The sequence below is a fragment of the Homo sapiens genome, chromosome 17, assembly GCF_000001405.40.
Source record: "Homo sapiens chromosome 17, GRCh38.p14 Primary Assembly".
Classification (NCBI taxonomy): Eukaryota; Metazoa; Chordata; class Mammalia; order Primates; family Hominidae; genus Homo; species Homo sapiens.
In genome coordinates, this window is record NC_000017.11 from 76,993,944 (window position 1) to 77,008,524 (window position 14,581).

The 14,581-nt window shown below is 50.5% G+C and overlaps 5 annotated features.

Moving 5' to 3' along the window:
* Positions 1,256–1,797: an enhancer, noted in NCBI's record as "H3K27ac-H3K4me1 hESC enhancer chr17:74991281-74991822 (GRCh37/hg19 assembly coordinates)". NCBI's record gives its function as "activates a minimal SCP1, AML or CMV promoter by ChIP-STARR-seq in naive H9 embryonic stem cells {active_cell/tissue: H9 hESC(naive)}" and the evidence as "EXISTENCE:reporter gene assay evidence [ECO:0000049][PMID:30033119]".
* Positions 3,968–4,508: an enhancer, noted in NCBI's record as "H3K27ac-H3K4me1 hESC enhancer chr17:74993993-74994533 (GRCh37/hg19 assembly coordinates)". NCBI's record gives its function as "activates a minimal SCP1, AML or CMV promoter by ChIP-STARR-seq in primed H9 embryonic stem cells {active_cell/tissue: H9 hESC(primed)}" and the evidence as "EXISTENCE:reporter gene assay evidence [ECO:0000049][PMID:30033119]".
* Positions 3,968–4,543: a biological region, named in NCBI's record as "H3K27ac-H3K4me1 hESC enhancer GRCh37_chr17:74993993-74994533".
* Positions 4,464–4,543: an enhancer, noted in NCBI's record as "active region_12818". NCBI's record gives its function as "activates an Ori minimal core promoter by ATAC-STARR-seq in GM12878 lymphoblastoid cells {active_cell/tissue: GM12878}" and the evidence as "EXISTENCE:reporter gene assay evidence [ECO:0000049][PMID:35858748]".
* Positions 13,381–13,560: an enhancer, noted in NCBI's record as "active region_12819". NCBI's record gives its function as "activates an Ori minimal core promoter by ATAC-STARR-seq in GM12878 lymphoblastoid cells {active_cell/tissue: GM12878}" and the evidence as "EXISTENCE:reporter gene assay evidence [ECO:0000049][PMID:35858748]".

A 14,581-nucleotide genomic window follows, 5' to 3' on the forward strand; every position in this document is an offset into this window, starting at 1 on the left:
AATCCCTCAGAGGCCTCCCACCCCACCCTCCCCCAGGGCCTTGCCCTGGGAAGCTGTTTTCTTTACCAGGCATCTCCGGATTTGTCCTTTGGGGTTGATGGAGATTTATTTATTTAAACACACAGCTGACACTTGTGCCTCTTGTTTTCGGAGAGTCGGGGACAGGATATAAACATATTTGGAAAGAAGCCGGAGCAGGGGACATTGACGAACCAGGGGCCTCGGAGGTTCTGGATAATTCTCTTATTCTGGTCCAGTGCTGACCACACAGGTTTATTTTTCCCTTGCTCAGAGATGATGGGAGGAGAATCAGAGAAACAATGGTCATGCCGACCTCAGGCTTCCTGTGAGGGTCAGGACATCCATCATTGTTCCTCTACAAATTAATAGACTGGCCCATCCCTGGTTGCTACGGCAACTGCCCCCAGTGCTTTTGTGATCGTAAAATGGAATTCACTGGAAGTCCTTTTCAAGTGAACTCTTCTCCAGACAAACGGATTGAGGAAGGAAATTACCAGAAGGCCCAGCACCTCTGAACAGGTCTTTGTTTCCAGGAGATGGGCCTGATGAGAGGCTGAGAAGCCACTACCGAAGCCACTACCGGAAAGGACACTATTAATTACAGGGTATTCCAGAAGTTGCCCTGGCCACAGGGGAGGAGCAGGCTCTGTGGTTTCCACACATAGTTCCCAGCACTGCAATTAACCCAGAGCCTTCCAGAAATGTCAAAGACAATGAGGTTTTATTTTTCTCCTTTTCTCCCACTATCTTGGGCTCCTTACTTCAAATTGCCTTTGCCCTGTTCTGATCTCTGTGAAGGATGCCACATGCAGGGGAAAAAAATTCCAGCTCAAAAGCAGAAAATCCCAGAGTCCCCACACCAGAGGCCACCTTGAGGGGTTCTGGGGGAAGCCTCCCTGAGCAGGCCGGACGGTCGACCAGCTTTGCCTGTTTCATACCAAGACTCCAGAATTCAGTTGCAAAGGAAAACTCCCTATCCTGAGTGCCTTCCTTTTTATACAAAAAACAAAAACAGAGGCCGGGCGTGGTGGCTCATGCCTGTAATCCCAGCACTTTGGGAGACCAAGATGGGTGGATCACTTCGGGCCAGGAGTTCGAGACCAGCCTGGCCAACATGGCGAAACCCCATCTCTACCAAAAATACAAAAATTAGCCGGGCGTGGTCCACATGCCTGTAATCCCAGCTACTCAGAAGGCTGAAGTAGAACTGTTTGAACCTGGGAGGTGGAGGTTGCAGTGAGCTGAGATCGCGCCACCGCACTCCAGCCTGAGTGACAGAGCAAGACTCTGCCTCAAAAAAGAATTAAAAAATAAAAATAAAAATAATAAAACAAAAACACCCAGCATTTCCTCCCAATTATATAAGTCATTCACATCCACAGTAGAAAAATGAGAAAATAGAGAAAACCACACAGAATAAGATAAAGCCAATTACAATCCCGTCCGCACCCCAAATACCCACCGCTAGCATTTGGCTGTAAACCTTTCCAGTCCTGTCTCTCTGGGTAACTGCCTTGTTGGCTCCTGACGTCATTGCTTTTTCTCCCCTGCCCTTTCATGTGTCGATGGGAGGAGGTCCATTGTCCCTCACCCCTGGATGCAAACATTAGCAAATGCATGGCCCCAGCTCCTTCTCTTAGGTAATAGCTCGTGGCCACGCTGGGTTGCAAACACAGTCTTAATTTGGTCTTCAGAATATTCAGCTTGTGGAAGATCAGAAATGTGCCGCCCCAAAATGTGCACCTTTTGGCATCAGGCTGTTGAGCTGCGGGCAGTTAAGAAGAAGCAGGTGCAGGAAGCTCTGCACTCCCTCTGTTTGCCTAAAAGCAGGACATAGATTTGTAGAGACAGAAGCTGTCCCACTCCCCTTTCTACCACGGAGCAAAGCTGAGCCACTGAAGACACCTTTGCACCCTTGTGGGCCTGAGGCCAGCTCCAGAGGCATCCACAAGAACAGGTTTCCCCAGCCAGCCTGCACCCGCCAGCTCTGTGCCTCTCCAGGGGGCTGCACCCAAAGTCCTTTCCCTTTGTCTTGTGACTTCTCCAAAGATGTACTGTTCTCTGTGGAAGATGCAACATGATCTGGGATTCAAAGCCATCTCTTTGAGAACCAGGCATTCCCTGGGTGCTTCCTGTGCACATAGGCAACGTGTATGCTGGCTGGGCCTAATCCCAGCACTTTGGGAGGCCGAGGTGGGCGGATCACTTGAGGTCAGGAGTTCGAGACCAGCCTGGCCAACATGGCAAAACCCCGTCCCTACTAAAAATACAAAAATTAGCTGGGTGTGGTGGCGCACGCCTGTAATCCCAGCTACTCAGGAGGCTGAGGTAGGAGAATTGCTTGAACCTGGGAGGCAGAGGTTGCAGTGAGCTGAGATCCTGCCACTGCACTCCAGCCTGGGCAACAGAGCGAGACTCCATATCAAAAAAAAAAAAAAAAGAAAGAAAAAGAAAGAAAGAAAGAAAAGAAAAAGGCAGCATGCATGCTGATGCACGTCTGCCTTTCTCTTGTTAATCTGTCTTTTTGTTCCAGGAGGCTGTTCCAGCTGAGAACTTATGAGTATTGTAGGAACAAATGAGTTTTCCACCCCTACAAGCCCATGATATTTAATCATATCTCTCAAGGGAACTAGGGGTTGAATCTTCTCCCTTCCCCAGCTCAGCCTGCTCCAGTCCAGAGGCTGCAATGGGAAGGGGATGGGGCGGATGATCTGCCCCAGCCCTGGCAGAGAGAGGGGGTTGGGGGGAAGGAGGTGGGAACCTGCTAGGGTGGTCCTCACTCGCCTGGACAGCTTCCCCTCTTGGCTTCCAAGGGCTCCTGGAAGGTTCCCTGCTGGGCTCTGGGTCCCTGTGACCCTGGGGGATGCTCCTCAAATCCTGAGTAGTCCCATGTGACGTCCAGCAGAAGCCCCCCCGAGCATCCTTCTGGGCACTGCCCCATCCCCTTCCAGACGGCCCCACTGGTAGGGTCCTTGGGTAGCCCCTTGTGATTCTCTCTCTGGTCTGCAAGGAACACTCCCATCTCCTTGCCCTGACACACAAACCTGGGCCTGTAGGGCTCCCGCTCCACCACCCGAATGGCCACAGCCATTTCCTCACCATGGAGATGTTTCTGGGGGAGGCAGACCCCTGGCCCCCTCACTCACGCATTTCCAGGCTGGGCCAGGTGTCCATGCTTTGCATTTCTCTGCTGCAGGAGACACATTTCAAGGCTCTCTGCAGGGGGTCCCATGAGTTCTCCTGATGCAGAGACAGAGCGGGGACCCGCCTAGGGGCCTGCCCGCACCCACCCCCCAACCACAGCATGGAAATAAAGGAAAAGTCTTGAGTTCCTTCAGGAGAAATTCCAGGCACTAGCTAGCCTTGGAGAATAAATGAGCAGCCGGATAAGCAGGAAGATAGCAACAAACAAGATGAGAGCAACAGGAGCCTCCCAAGCAAGCCAGAGGAACAAGGTGTTTTGGTTCCTACAGAAACTAAAGATAACATCTTCACATATGTTCTCGAGTTGTTTTTCAGAAACCCCCACTGCCAGCCTCTATCCTATAGACCTCAGATGTGGGGAACCGAGGGCGGCACTCTGACTGCCGTTCTTTGTTCAGAATTTCATCCTGAGAGGCCTGGAGAATCATGCCCATGGCCACACTGAGGTACAGCCTCCATGTATGGGTTTACAACTTTACCTGCAATGCACCCCTCGCTTTCCTGAAATGCATCCCTGCCTTTAAAAACCCTTGCCTGTGCTCACGCCTGTAATCCTGGCACTTTGGGAGGCTAAGGTGGGCAGATCACTTGAGGTCAGGGGTTCAAGACCCACCTGGCCAACATGGTGAAACCCCGTCTCTACTAAAAAATACAAAATTAGCCAGGCGTGGTGGCAGGTGCCTGTAACCCCAGCTACTCGGGAGGCTGAGGCAGGAGAATCGCTCGAACCCAGGAGGCGGAGGTTGCAGTGAGCCGAGATCATTCCACTGCACTCCAGCCTGGGCGACAAGAGCAAAACTCGGTCTCAAAACAAACAAACAAACAAACAAAACCCCTGCTTGTGAGCCGTCGGGAGTTTGGGTCTTCAGCCTTAGCTGCCTGTTCCCCTCGCTTGGCGCCCCGCTGTAAGTGCCCTTTTTGAGACAGCTGGGGAAAGCAGAACAGGGACGGGGGAAGGGTCCCTGTTTTCCTTACACACCATGCTGACTGCAGCCATACTCAGCCATGCAGCCCTGTAACCACAAACGCTTCCTTTCACAAAAATAGGCCAAGTAAATCTAAAACACACAGAGTGCTTAAACCACAAATGTCGTGGCTGTTAACAGTAGGGACTCTCCACAATCCCCAAATGCACATCCCCAGCAAGGTCCTAGCCCGCCCTAACTGTACCTTTGCTTCATTTTAATGGTAAACATCATACCCCGGATGGAAAGTTGAGATGCTAATGAGACATGCGTCGCGTGAAGAAGCGTGACAGAGACTGTGCAGTCATGATGGACAGACCACCCTAAACATGCAATGATGTCATCTGGAGGAGGCCGGAAGGAAAATAAATCAACAGTCCGACCAGCTTTGGGGAGCCAGCTGCAGGTCTCTTCCTGTACTGTCCCCCTTGCTGCTCCAGCTGAAAGCCCTGATAAACTGCCTTGCTCAAGCCCATCTTAGACTCTCGGTCAACTTCTATTTTCTGAGGGTCCACTGGCTGGGAACGCTGTGCTCTTGGAAACTCTCCCTTCTAGGGTTCTGGGAGAGGGTGAGGGGGCTCAAGAGACCGGGGCGGTTCTCCTTCATCCTGCTGTAAATCCTGCACCTGACAGGGCAGGGTCCCTGGTATCTATAGCATCATCTCTCCAGCCAAAACTCAGCCCTGCTCTAACAGCCTGAGACAGTGCCCTTTCTAAATACAGTGCTGTGATATGATGGCAACTCACATGTATCAAGCATTCACTGCAACAAACACTTTGAGGGATTAGCTCGCAGAACCCTCACAGCCCTAGGAGCTAGACACTGCGTGCAGGAGAGGTAACTGACCCAAAGAATGCCTGGCCTCTGACCTGGTTACCGCGGAGGAGGGTGATCTCTAGGCCACACCATGTCCCTCCTGACAGGAGTGTCTTTGTTGCCCAAGGGCTTTGGCCCCTGGAGGGTCCAGCAATGCGGTTTATGATGGGGGCCTCAGGACATCCCGTATCAGTGCCGACCTCCAGAGGGACTGAAGAGGATAGGTGAGTCACATGGTTAGCGTGTGATGGAGCCCCAGGAAAAGCTCTGGACCCCAAAGCCTCAGGTGAGCTTCCCTGGCAGGAAGCACTCTTGAATGTTGTCAGGCATTAGGGCCAGGAGGTGGGAAGACCGCCCAGGGTTCCCTGGGGAGAAGATGGCCAGAGGCTCCGCGTTTAGATCCCATCAGACTTTGGCCTGTGCATCTTGTCCCATGGCTGGTCCTAATTTGTAACTTATTTATTTATTTATTTATTTATTTATATATTCTGAGACAGAGTCTTGCTCTATCACCTGGGCTGGAGTGCAGTAGTTTGATCTCGGCTCATTGCAACCTCCACCTCCTGGGTTCAAGCAATTCTCCTGCCTCAGCCTCCTCAATAGCTGGGATTATAGGCGTGCGCCACCGTGCCTGGCTAATTTTTGTATTTTTAGGAGAGGTGGGGTTTCACCATGTTGGCCAGACTGGTCTTGAACTCCTGACCTTGTGATCCGGCTGCCTCAGCCTCCCAAAGTGCTGGGATTACAGGTGTGAGCTATTGCGCCAGGCCATTAATTTGTAACCTTTTGCGGTAACTATAATTGTTAAGTATAGCACTCTCCTGAGTTCTGTAGGTCATTCTAGAAAATTATCAAATGAGACGGTGGTTGTGCGGGCCCCCAAATTCATAGCAAGCTGGTCTAAAGTGAGGGTGGTCCTGGGACCCTCATTGTTGTGGCTGGGGTCTGAAGTGGGGGCTGCCTTGTGGAACCTGTACCCTCTGACCATAGAGTTTCCAGAATTCACCACAGATGCTGTCATGATCTCTGCTTCACAGATGGGGAGGTAGATGGACACTGAGGTTTCGTGACCTGCCCAAGGCCAGGCAGTTATATAATCTGTTATATAATCTGCAAATTTAAAAATACTTAATCTAGGCCAGGTGCAGTGGCTCACACCTACAATCCTAGCACTTTGGGAGGCCGAGGTGGGAGGATCACTTGAGGTCAGGAGTTCGAAACCAGCCTGGCCAACATGGTGAAACCCCGTCTCTAGTAAAAATACAAAAAAAATTAGCTGGGTATGGTGGAGGGCACCTGTAATCCCAGCTACTTGGGAGGCTGAGGCAGGAGAATTGCTTGAACCTGGGAGGCAAAGATTGCAGTGAGCCAAGATTGGGCCACTGCACTCCCAACCTGGGTGACAGAGTGAGATCTGTCTCAAAATAATAATAATAATAAGTAAGTAAATAAATAAATAAATAAATAATAAAGTTAAAAAGCACTTAATCCAGCTGGGCGAGGTGGCTCACACCTGTAATCCCAGCACTTTGGGAAGCCGAGGTGGGCGGATCACAAGGTCAGGAGATCGAGACCATCCTGGCTAACACGGTGAAACCCCGTGTCTACTAAAAATACAAAAAGTTAGCTGGGTGCGATGGCGGGCGTTGTGGCAGGCACCTGTAGTCGCAGCTACTCGGGAGGCTGAGGCAGGAGAATGGCGTGAACCCGGGAGGCAGAGCTTGCAGTGAGCTGAGATCTCACCACTGCACTCCAGCCTGGGAGACAGAGTGAGACTCCGTCTCAAAAAAAAAAAAAAAAAAAAGCACTGAATCCTAAGTGAACGAATGCAGGAACAGAAAACCATGTTCTCACTTATAAGTGGGAGCTAAACATTGAGTACACCTGGACACAAAGAAGAGACCAACAGACACCAGGGTCTATTTGAGGGTGGCGGGTGGGAAGACGGCGAGGATTGAAAAATGACCTATCGGCTGGGCACAGTGGCTCATGCCTGTAATCCCAGCACTTGGGAGGCCGAGGCAGGTGGATCACGAGGTCAGGAGTTCGAGACCAGCCTGGCCAACATAGTGAAACCCCGTCTCTACTAAAAATACAAAAATTAGCCGGGCATGGTGGCATGCACCTGTAGTCCCAGCTACTCGGGAGGCTGAGGCAGGAGAATCACTTGAACCAGGGAGGTGGAGACTGTAGTGAGCTGAGATCGTGCCATTGCACTCCAGCTGGGGGAATAGAGTGAGATTCCATCAGAAAGAAAGAAAGAAAGAAAGAAAGAAAGAAAGAAAGAAAGAAAGAAAGAAAGAAAAGAAAGAAAAGAAAGAAAAGAAAGAAAAGAAAGAAAGAAAGACAGACAAACGACCTATCCGTACCCCAGAGACATGCAATTTACTCATGGAAGTAAACTGCACATGTACCTCCTGACCCTAAAATAAATGTTGGAAAGGAAAAAATATACCCAACAAAACAAAACAAGATAAAACAAGGGCAGGCATGGTGGCTCATGCCTGTAATCCCAGCGCTTTGGGAGGCAGAGATGGGAAGATCCCTTGAGTCCAGGAGTTTGAGACCAGCCTGGGCAACATAGCAAAACCCTGAGACCCCCATCTCTACAGAAAATATAAGATTTGGCCAGGCATGGTGGCATGCACCTGTGGTCCTGGCTACTTGGGAGGCTGAAGCGGGAGGATATTTTGAGCCTGGGAGGTAGAGGCTGCAGTGAGCCATGGTCCTGCCACTGCATTCCAGGCTGGCCAATGCAGCGAGATCCTGTCTCAAACAAAACAAAGCAAAACAAAAAAACACAAGAACCCTCCCCAACAAGAAACCTAACCCTCTATCCATGGGCCACAGCGATCCCAAGGAGCATGTCCTACAAGTGTAGACCGAACCCCGGGAGAAGGAGAGGGGAACAGGGCTCTGGACCTGCGGGGCGGGGTTTCCTCCATATTGCCTCCCTTACGATGCAGTGATGAGGATCTTTATAGGTCTTTTGGGGGTGACCGCCGTCCACACCCCACCCCCTCCAAAACCCAGTATCAGTTATCAGAGATGGGCTAGATCAGTGATGGCAGAAGGGGTGTGAAGTATTGCTCAGATGGATCCCTGCCTGACATTATTAGAAGGAGCAGTGCCCCCCACCCTCATCGGCACACTGGGTTTGGCCTCAGGCTGTTCCCTGAGGCTGGCACAGAACCCTGGGGCAGCCCTGGCCTCGGTGCTTCCTGGGGAGCAGATCCCATTACTAAGGAGACCACCCACACTGTATGTCCTTTGCTTCCAGAATTGCACCCAGGCTGACCCTCCACCCGCAGCAGCATTCTCGCCACCCCCAGGGTCCATAGTTCAGTTACACAAGGAGCTTAGGCTTTATCCTATCCCAAACTGTGCCCTGGCCTGGTTGGCTGCGGAAGAACAAAGACGGGAACGTAATGAGTCACCATGCCATCACTCTCCCGGAGACCTCCCAGGTGGGGGACGCCTGACTTGGGTTCATTCATTCATTCGGCAAATATTTATCAAATGCTTACGATGTATCTCGCCCTATTCGAGGCCCTGGAGACAGAGCAGTGACCAAAGAGATTAATAATCTCTTTTGAGAAGCCGACATCCTAGTGGGAGAAAATAGACAGTAAACCTAGTGAGTGAATCATACAATACAACGGTCCTCAGCCCTGGTGCCCAGCACCCCACTGACGGCAGGCCCTTTCCAGGCAAGCTGCCAAGTGCTGGCCCCTGTAACGTGTTCAGCTGAGGATTCATCCCAGGCCAGGAATATGGGTGCAAGAGAGTGGGGTGTAGGGTCGGGAGATGCACAGAGGAGGGGTGGCTGGTTTCCAAAAATGGCCCCAGCAATATTTCCATGTCTGCATGCTTTTCCTTCAGGAGCTGGTGTCTATTTCCCCTCCCCTTCAACCTGGTTGGGCTGGTGACTGTCTGACGAACCGAATGAGGTTGAAATGATGCTGTGTGACTTCGAGTCTACTTTATGAAAGGCCTTTCACTTGGCTGTCTCTCTCTTTGTGTGTGTGTGTGTGTGTGTGTGTGTCTAATATGTAGCCACTAGCTGCACGTGACCGCCGAGCACTTAAAATGTGGCTAGTGCAACTAAGCAACTGAATTTTTAGTTTTACTTAATTTTAACCCTCCCCTCTCTCCCCTCCCCGCTCCTCTTTCTTTCTTTTTTGAGACCGGGTCTCACTCTGACACCCAGGCCGGAGTGCAGAGGTGCAATCTCGGCTCACTGCAACCTCTGCTTCCTCGGTTCAAGCAATTCCCATGCCTCAACCTCCCAAGTAGCTGGGACTACAGGTGCGTGCCACCACGCCCAGCTAATTTTTTGTTTTTGAGATGGAGTTTTGCTCTTTGTTGCCTAGGCTGGAGTACAGTGGTACAATCTCAACTCACCGCAGCCTCTGTCTCCCAGGTTCAAGCAATTCTCCCGCCTCAGCCTCCCTAGTAGCTGGGCTTACAGGCGCCCGCCAACACGCCCAGCTGATTTTTATATTTTTAGTAGAGACAGGGTTTCGCCATGTTGGCCAAGCTGGTCTCAAACTCCTGGCCTCAAGTGATCCGCCTGCCTCAGCCTCCCGAAGTGCTGAGGTTACTGGTGTGAGCCACTGAGCCCAGCCAATAGTAATACATTTTCACTGAAATTGCAATAGCAACATATGGCACCAGCTCACTCTCTCTTGCCACCCACGTATGGAGTCAACAAGTAAGAGGTGAAACCCTGTCTCTATTAAAAATGCAAAAATTAGCTGGGTGTGGTGGCGGGCACCTGTAATCCCAGCTACTAGGGAGGCTGAGGCAGAAGAATTGCTTGAACCCAGGAGACAGAGGCTGCAGTGAGTTGAGATTGCACCACTGTACTCCAGCCTGGGTGACAGAGCGAGGAAAAAAAAAATCTAAGCTGTTGAAATTTTAAAATATTTTGAGCCCTAAGGGATTGTGATTATAGGACATGAGTCACATAAACAGGCAGCTATAACCTTTGTTTCTCTGATTATAGATGAGCATTTTTCCTCACCTACATTGTTTTGAAAATGTTGTGACTAAAGTGTGGCAGGGAAGACCCCTTCCCTCTTCACTGTTGGTCTTCATCATAGATTAACTTCCCCCTTTCCTTTCTTATGCAAAGACTTCATGACTATCACATTGTCTAAGAACATTAAATAGACTCTTAAATTGGAAAGGAAATAAAAACAAGTTGTACAGAAAATACATTGTGACTGATTAAATTGTTGTAACTAAGCCAGGTGCGGTGGCTCACACCTGTAATCCCAGCACTTTGGGAGGCCGAGGTGGGCGGATCACGAGGTCAGGAGTTCAAGACCGTCCTGGCTAACATGGTGAAACCCCGTCTCTACTAAAAATACAAAGAATTAGCCGGGTGTGGTGGTGGGCGCCTGTAGTCCCAGCTACTCAGGAGGCTGAGGCAGGAGAATTACTTGAACCCAGGAGGTGGAGGTTGCAGTGAGTTGAGATCGTACCATTGCACTCCAGCTTGGGCAACAAGAGCGAAACTCCATCTCAAAAATAAATAAATAAATAAATAAATAAATAAAATAAAAATAAATCGTAACTCATAAACTAGACTATACAAAGTGCTATATTCCTACTAAATTTCTTTGTTTTCTGACTATACAAGCAAGACTTTAACTTTTTTTTTTTTTTTTGAGACAGAGTCTTGCTCTGTTGCCCAGGCTGGAGTGCAGTGGCACAATCACAGCTCACTGCAGCCTTGACTGCCTGGCCTTAAGTGATCTCTCACCTCAGCCTCCCTACTAGCTGGGACCACAGGTGTGCACCACCACACCCGGCTAATTTTTTAACTTTTTTTTAGAGATGGGGATCCCATCATCTTGCCCAGGCTGGTCTCAAACTCCTGGGCTCAAAGGATCCATCTGCCAGGGCCTCCCAAAGTGCTGGGATTACAGTCGTGAGCCACTGTGCCCAGCTAAGACCTTAACTTTTAACTTCAGAGCACTGACCCTATTCCTGTGGAGTCTGTGTACCTGAACGGCTATTCTCAGCTTTTCGCTTAAATCAACTCTTTTAAACTGGATTTTGATCCTTTTGGTTATTTCAGTTTGACAGGCTACCTTAAAGTACCATAAGGCCAACTGTGGTGGCCCACGCCTGTAATCCCAGCACTTTGGGAGGCTGAGGCGGGCAGATCACCTGAGGTCAGGAGTTCGAGACCAGCCTGGCCAACATGGTGAAACCCCATCTCTACTAATAATACAAAAATTAGCCTGGCATGGTGGTGCATGCCTGTAATCCCAGCTACTTGGTAGGCTGAGGCAGGAGATTTGCTTGACCCGGGAGGCGGAGGTTGCAGTGAGCCATGATTGTGCCACTGCACTCCAGCCTGGGCGACAGAGCATGACGCTGTCTCAAAAAAAAAAAAAAAAAAAGGGCTGGATGCAGTGGCTCTCGCCTGTAATCCCAGCACTTTGGGAGGCCCAGGCAGGAGGATCACGAGGTCAGGAGATCGAGACCATCCTGGCTAACACGGTGAAACCCCGTCTCTACTAAAAATACAAAAAATTAGCCAGGTGTGGTGGCGGGCGCCTGTTGTTCCAGCTACTCAGGAGGCTGAGGCAGGAGAATGGCGTGAACCCAGGAGGTGGAGCTTGCAGTGAGCCGAGATCGCGCCAGTGCACTCCAGCCTGGGGGACAGGGCGAGACTCTGTCTCAAAAAAAAAAAAAAAAGGTTGCTTTGGCTGGGCGTGGTGGCTCTTGCCTGATAATCCCAGCACTTTGGGAGGCCGAGGTGGGAGGATCCCTTGAGCCCAGGAATTTGAGACCAGCCTGGGAAACATGGTGAGGCCCCATCTCTACAAAAAAGTAAAAAATATTAGCTGGGTGTGGTGGTGTGCACCTGTGGTCCCAGCTACTCGGAAGGCTGAGGTGGGAGCATCACTTGAGCCAGGGAGGTTGAGGCTGCAGTGAGCCGTGATCGCACCACTGCACTCCAGCCTGGGCGACAGAGCATGACCCTGTGTGAAATAAAAAAAGAGAAAGTTTGCTTTATAATATTTCAAAATGATCGATTTCCCCCACCAGCAGCCTCCTTTTATTTTTTTTTCAACTGCAAATTACAATTTTAAGAACTAGAATATGAGCTGTAGGTTTGGGCTCCCTAGGACAATGTAGAGACCATTTGACTTTCTATGACTTTCAGAAGCAGCCTGGACACCCCTTCCCCTCACCCGACCCCAACAGAAACCCCTCAGCTCTGAACTGCAATCTGCTGCTGGCTCTGTGTCATCTTAGCTTGGCGTCTGGCTGGAGATCAGAAACGCCACCGTGCTAGGGAAGGCTGCAAATCTGAATTTACATATAGATTTCCCAGGGCAGGTAGTTTCCTAGCTTTTCCCTGATGAAGGTGAGGTTGTTCTTGATTTTCTGATTATCCAGAGGCTGGGTTGATTGTGCAGGTTTTTGCAGAGTAGCTTTCTGGGTTCGGGGATGGTTGTAAGGCGAGAATTTAACAATGGAAGTTGCTAAATTTGTGGAGGGGTCTCAGATGCACTTACTGGAGATTCCTCTCAGAAGTCCGTGCTGCAGAGTCAAAATACTCCCTCTGAGGAGCAGGGAAGAAAGCAAACTTGCAATTCCTTCCCTTCAGTGTTTTGGAACCACACCAATTTGTACGATCAGCATTCTCTGCCCCTTCCCCTTTATTTATTTATTTGTTTGCTTATTTATATATTTTTTTATTTTTATTTTTTTTGAGATGGAGTCTTGCTCTGTTGTCCAAGCTGGAGTACATTGGTGCGTATGAGCTCACTGCAACCAGCGATCTGCAATCGCTTCCCAGATTCAAGCAATTCTCCTGCCTCAGCCTCCCCAGTAGCTGGGATTACAGGCACACGCTCCCACTCCAGGCTAATTTTTGTACCTTTAGTAGAGACAGAGTTTCACCATGTTGGCCAGGCTGGTCTCGAATTCCTGACCTCAAGTGATCCGCCCGCCTCAGCCTCCCAAAGTGCTGGGATTACAGGCGTGAGCCACTGCGCCTGGCCCTTCCCCTTTGATTTCCTAACTTATTCCCTCCTCTGGCTAATTTTGCATTCCCCTTCAGAGGCTGAGCTGGCCAGCTTAATGAGCCTCCCCGACTTGCCATCAGATAGATGGTGCACCATTAGCTGCCTGTTTAACAACCATATTTCTTCTTCTCGATGAGGGCTCAATATCTCACACATGAAATATTGCTTGGAGAGCCCCCAGTCCAGGACTTGAAGCACCGAGCAATTACTCAGCCGTGATTCCGGAGCGGTGGCAGCTTGGTGACAGCCGCCTCTTCTGTCTCCTCTGGTTGATTGGCGACCGGAAGCAGGCAGGCTTCCATTTTACCAGAGATTGATGGCTTCTCCCAACTGCCAGTGGCTCTCTGCGAAGCTCCCCCTCCAGCGTCCTCTTTCTGTCCTGACATCTAGAGCTGTGGGGCTCAGTGCACTGCCCGTGGGGGCCCACATGGCCTGCAGGCCGGACCCCTGCCGGGGGCAGGTGACTCCCAGGTGCTGACCTATGGCAACCACAGTTGTGATTCCCATGAGGTCATGTGACAGCTGAAAAGAGATAGCCGTGCGTGGTGGCTCATGCCCGTAATCCCAACACTTTGGGAGGCCAAGGCAGGCAGATCACTTGAGGTCAGGAGTTCGAGACCAGCCTGGCCAACACGGTGAAACCCCGTCTGTACTAAAAATACAAAAATCAGTGGGGCATGGTGGCGTGCACCTGTAATCCCAGCTGCCTAGGAGACTGAGGCAGGAGAATCCCTTGAACCCAGGAGGTGGAGGTTGCAGTAAGCTGAGATTGTGCCACTGCACTCCAGCCTGGGTGACAGAGCGAGACTCCATCTCAAAAAAAAAAAAAAAAAAAAAGAGAGAGAGAGGTAACTAGAGATAGGCACACAGCGTCTACTCTTCAAAGCTGCCTCTCAGATCACACACTCTCCCATCCCCTGGGCTGTTAATGTAAGTAAGCCCTTCTCTGATCCCAAAGCTGGTCTCTCCAAATTCATCCCTGTAGAAACTGCCCCTGAGGCCCCGCAGCCCCATTCTTTCATCATTGTTCAGTCTCCCTCTCTCTTTCTGGCCTTGCCCTTCCCTCTGGTCTCCTCTCTATAAGGGCTCTTCGAATGATGTTTGTGTTTTTGTTCCACCAAGTAAGACCAGGCACAGTGGCTCACGCTGTAATCCCAGCACTTATGTGAGGCCCAGGTGGGAAGATAGCTTGAGGCCAGGAGTTCAAGACCAGGCTGGGCAACATAGTAAGACTTTTGTCTCTACAACAAATAAAATGAAATTAAGCCGGGTGTGGTGGCACATGCCTGTGGTCCCAGCTACTCAGGGGGCTGAGGCAAGAGGATCGCTTGAGCCTGGGAGATTAAAGCTGCAGTGAGCTGAGATGGCGCCACTGCACTCTAGCCTGGGCAACAGAGATAGATCCTGTCTCAAAAAACACAAACAAACAGGCCAGGCACGGTGGCTCACACCTGTAATCCCAGCACTTTGGGAGGCTGAGGTGGGTGGATCACTTGAGGTCAGGAGTTTGAGACCAGCCT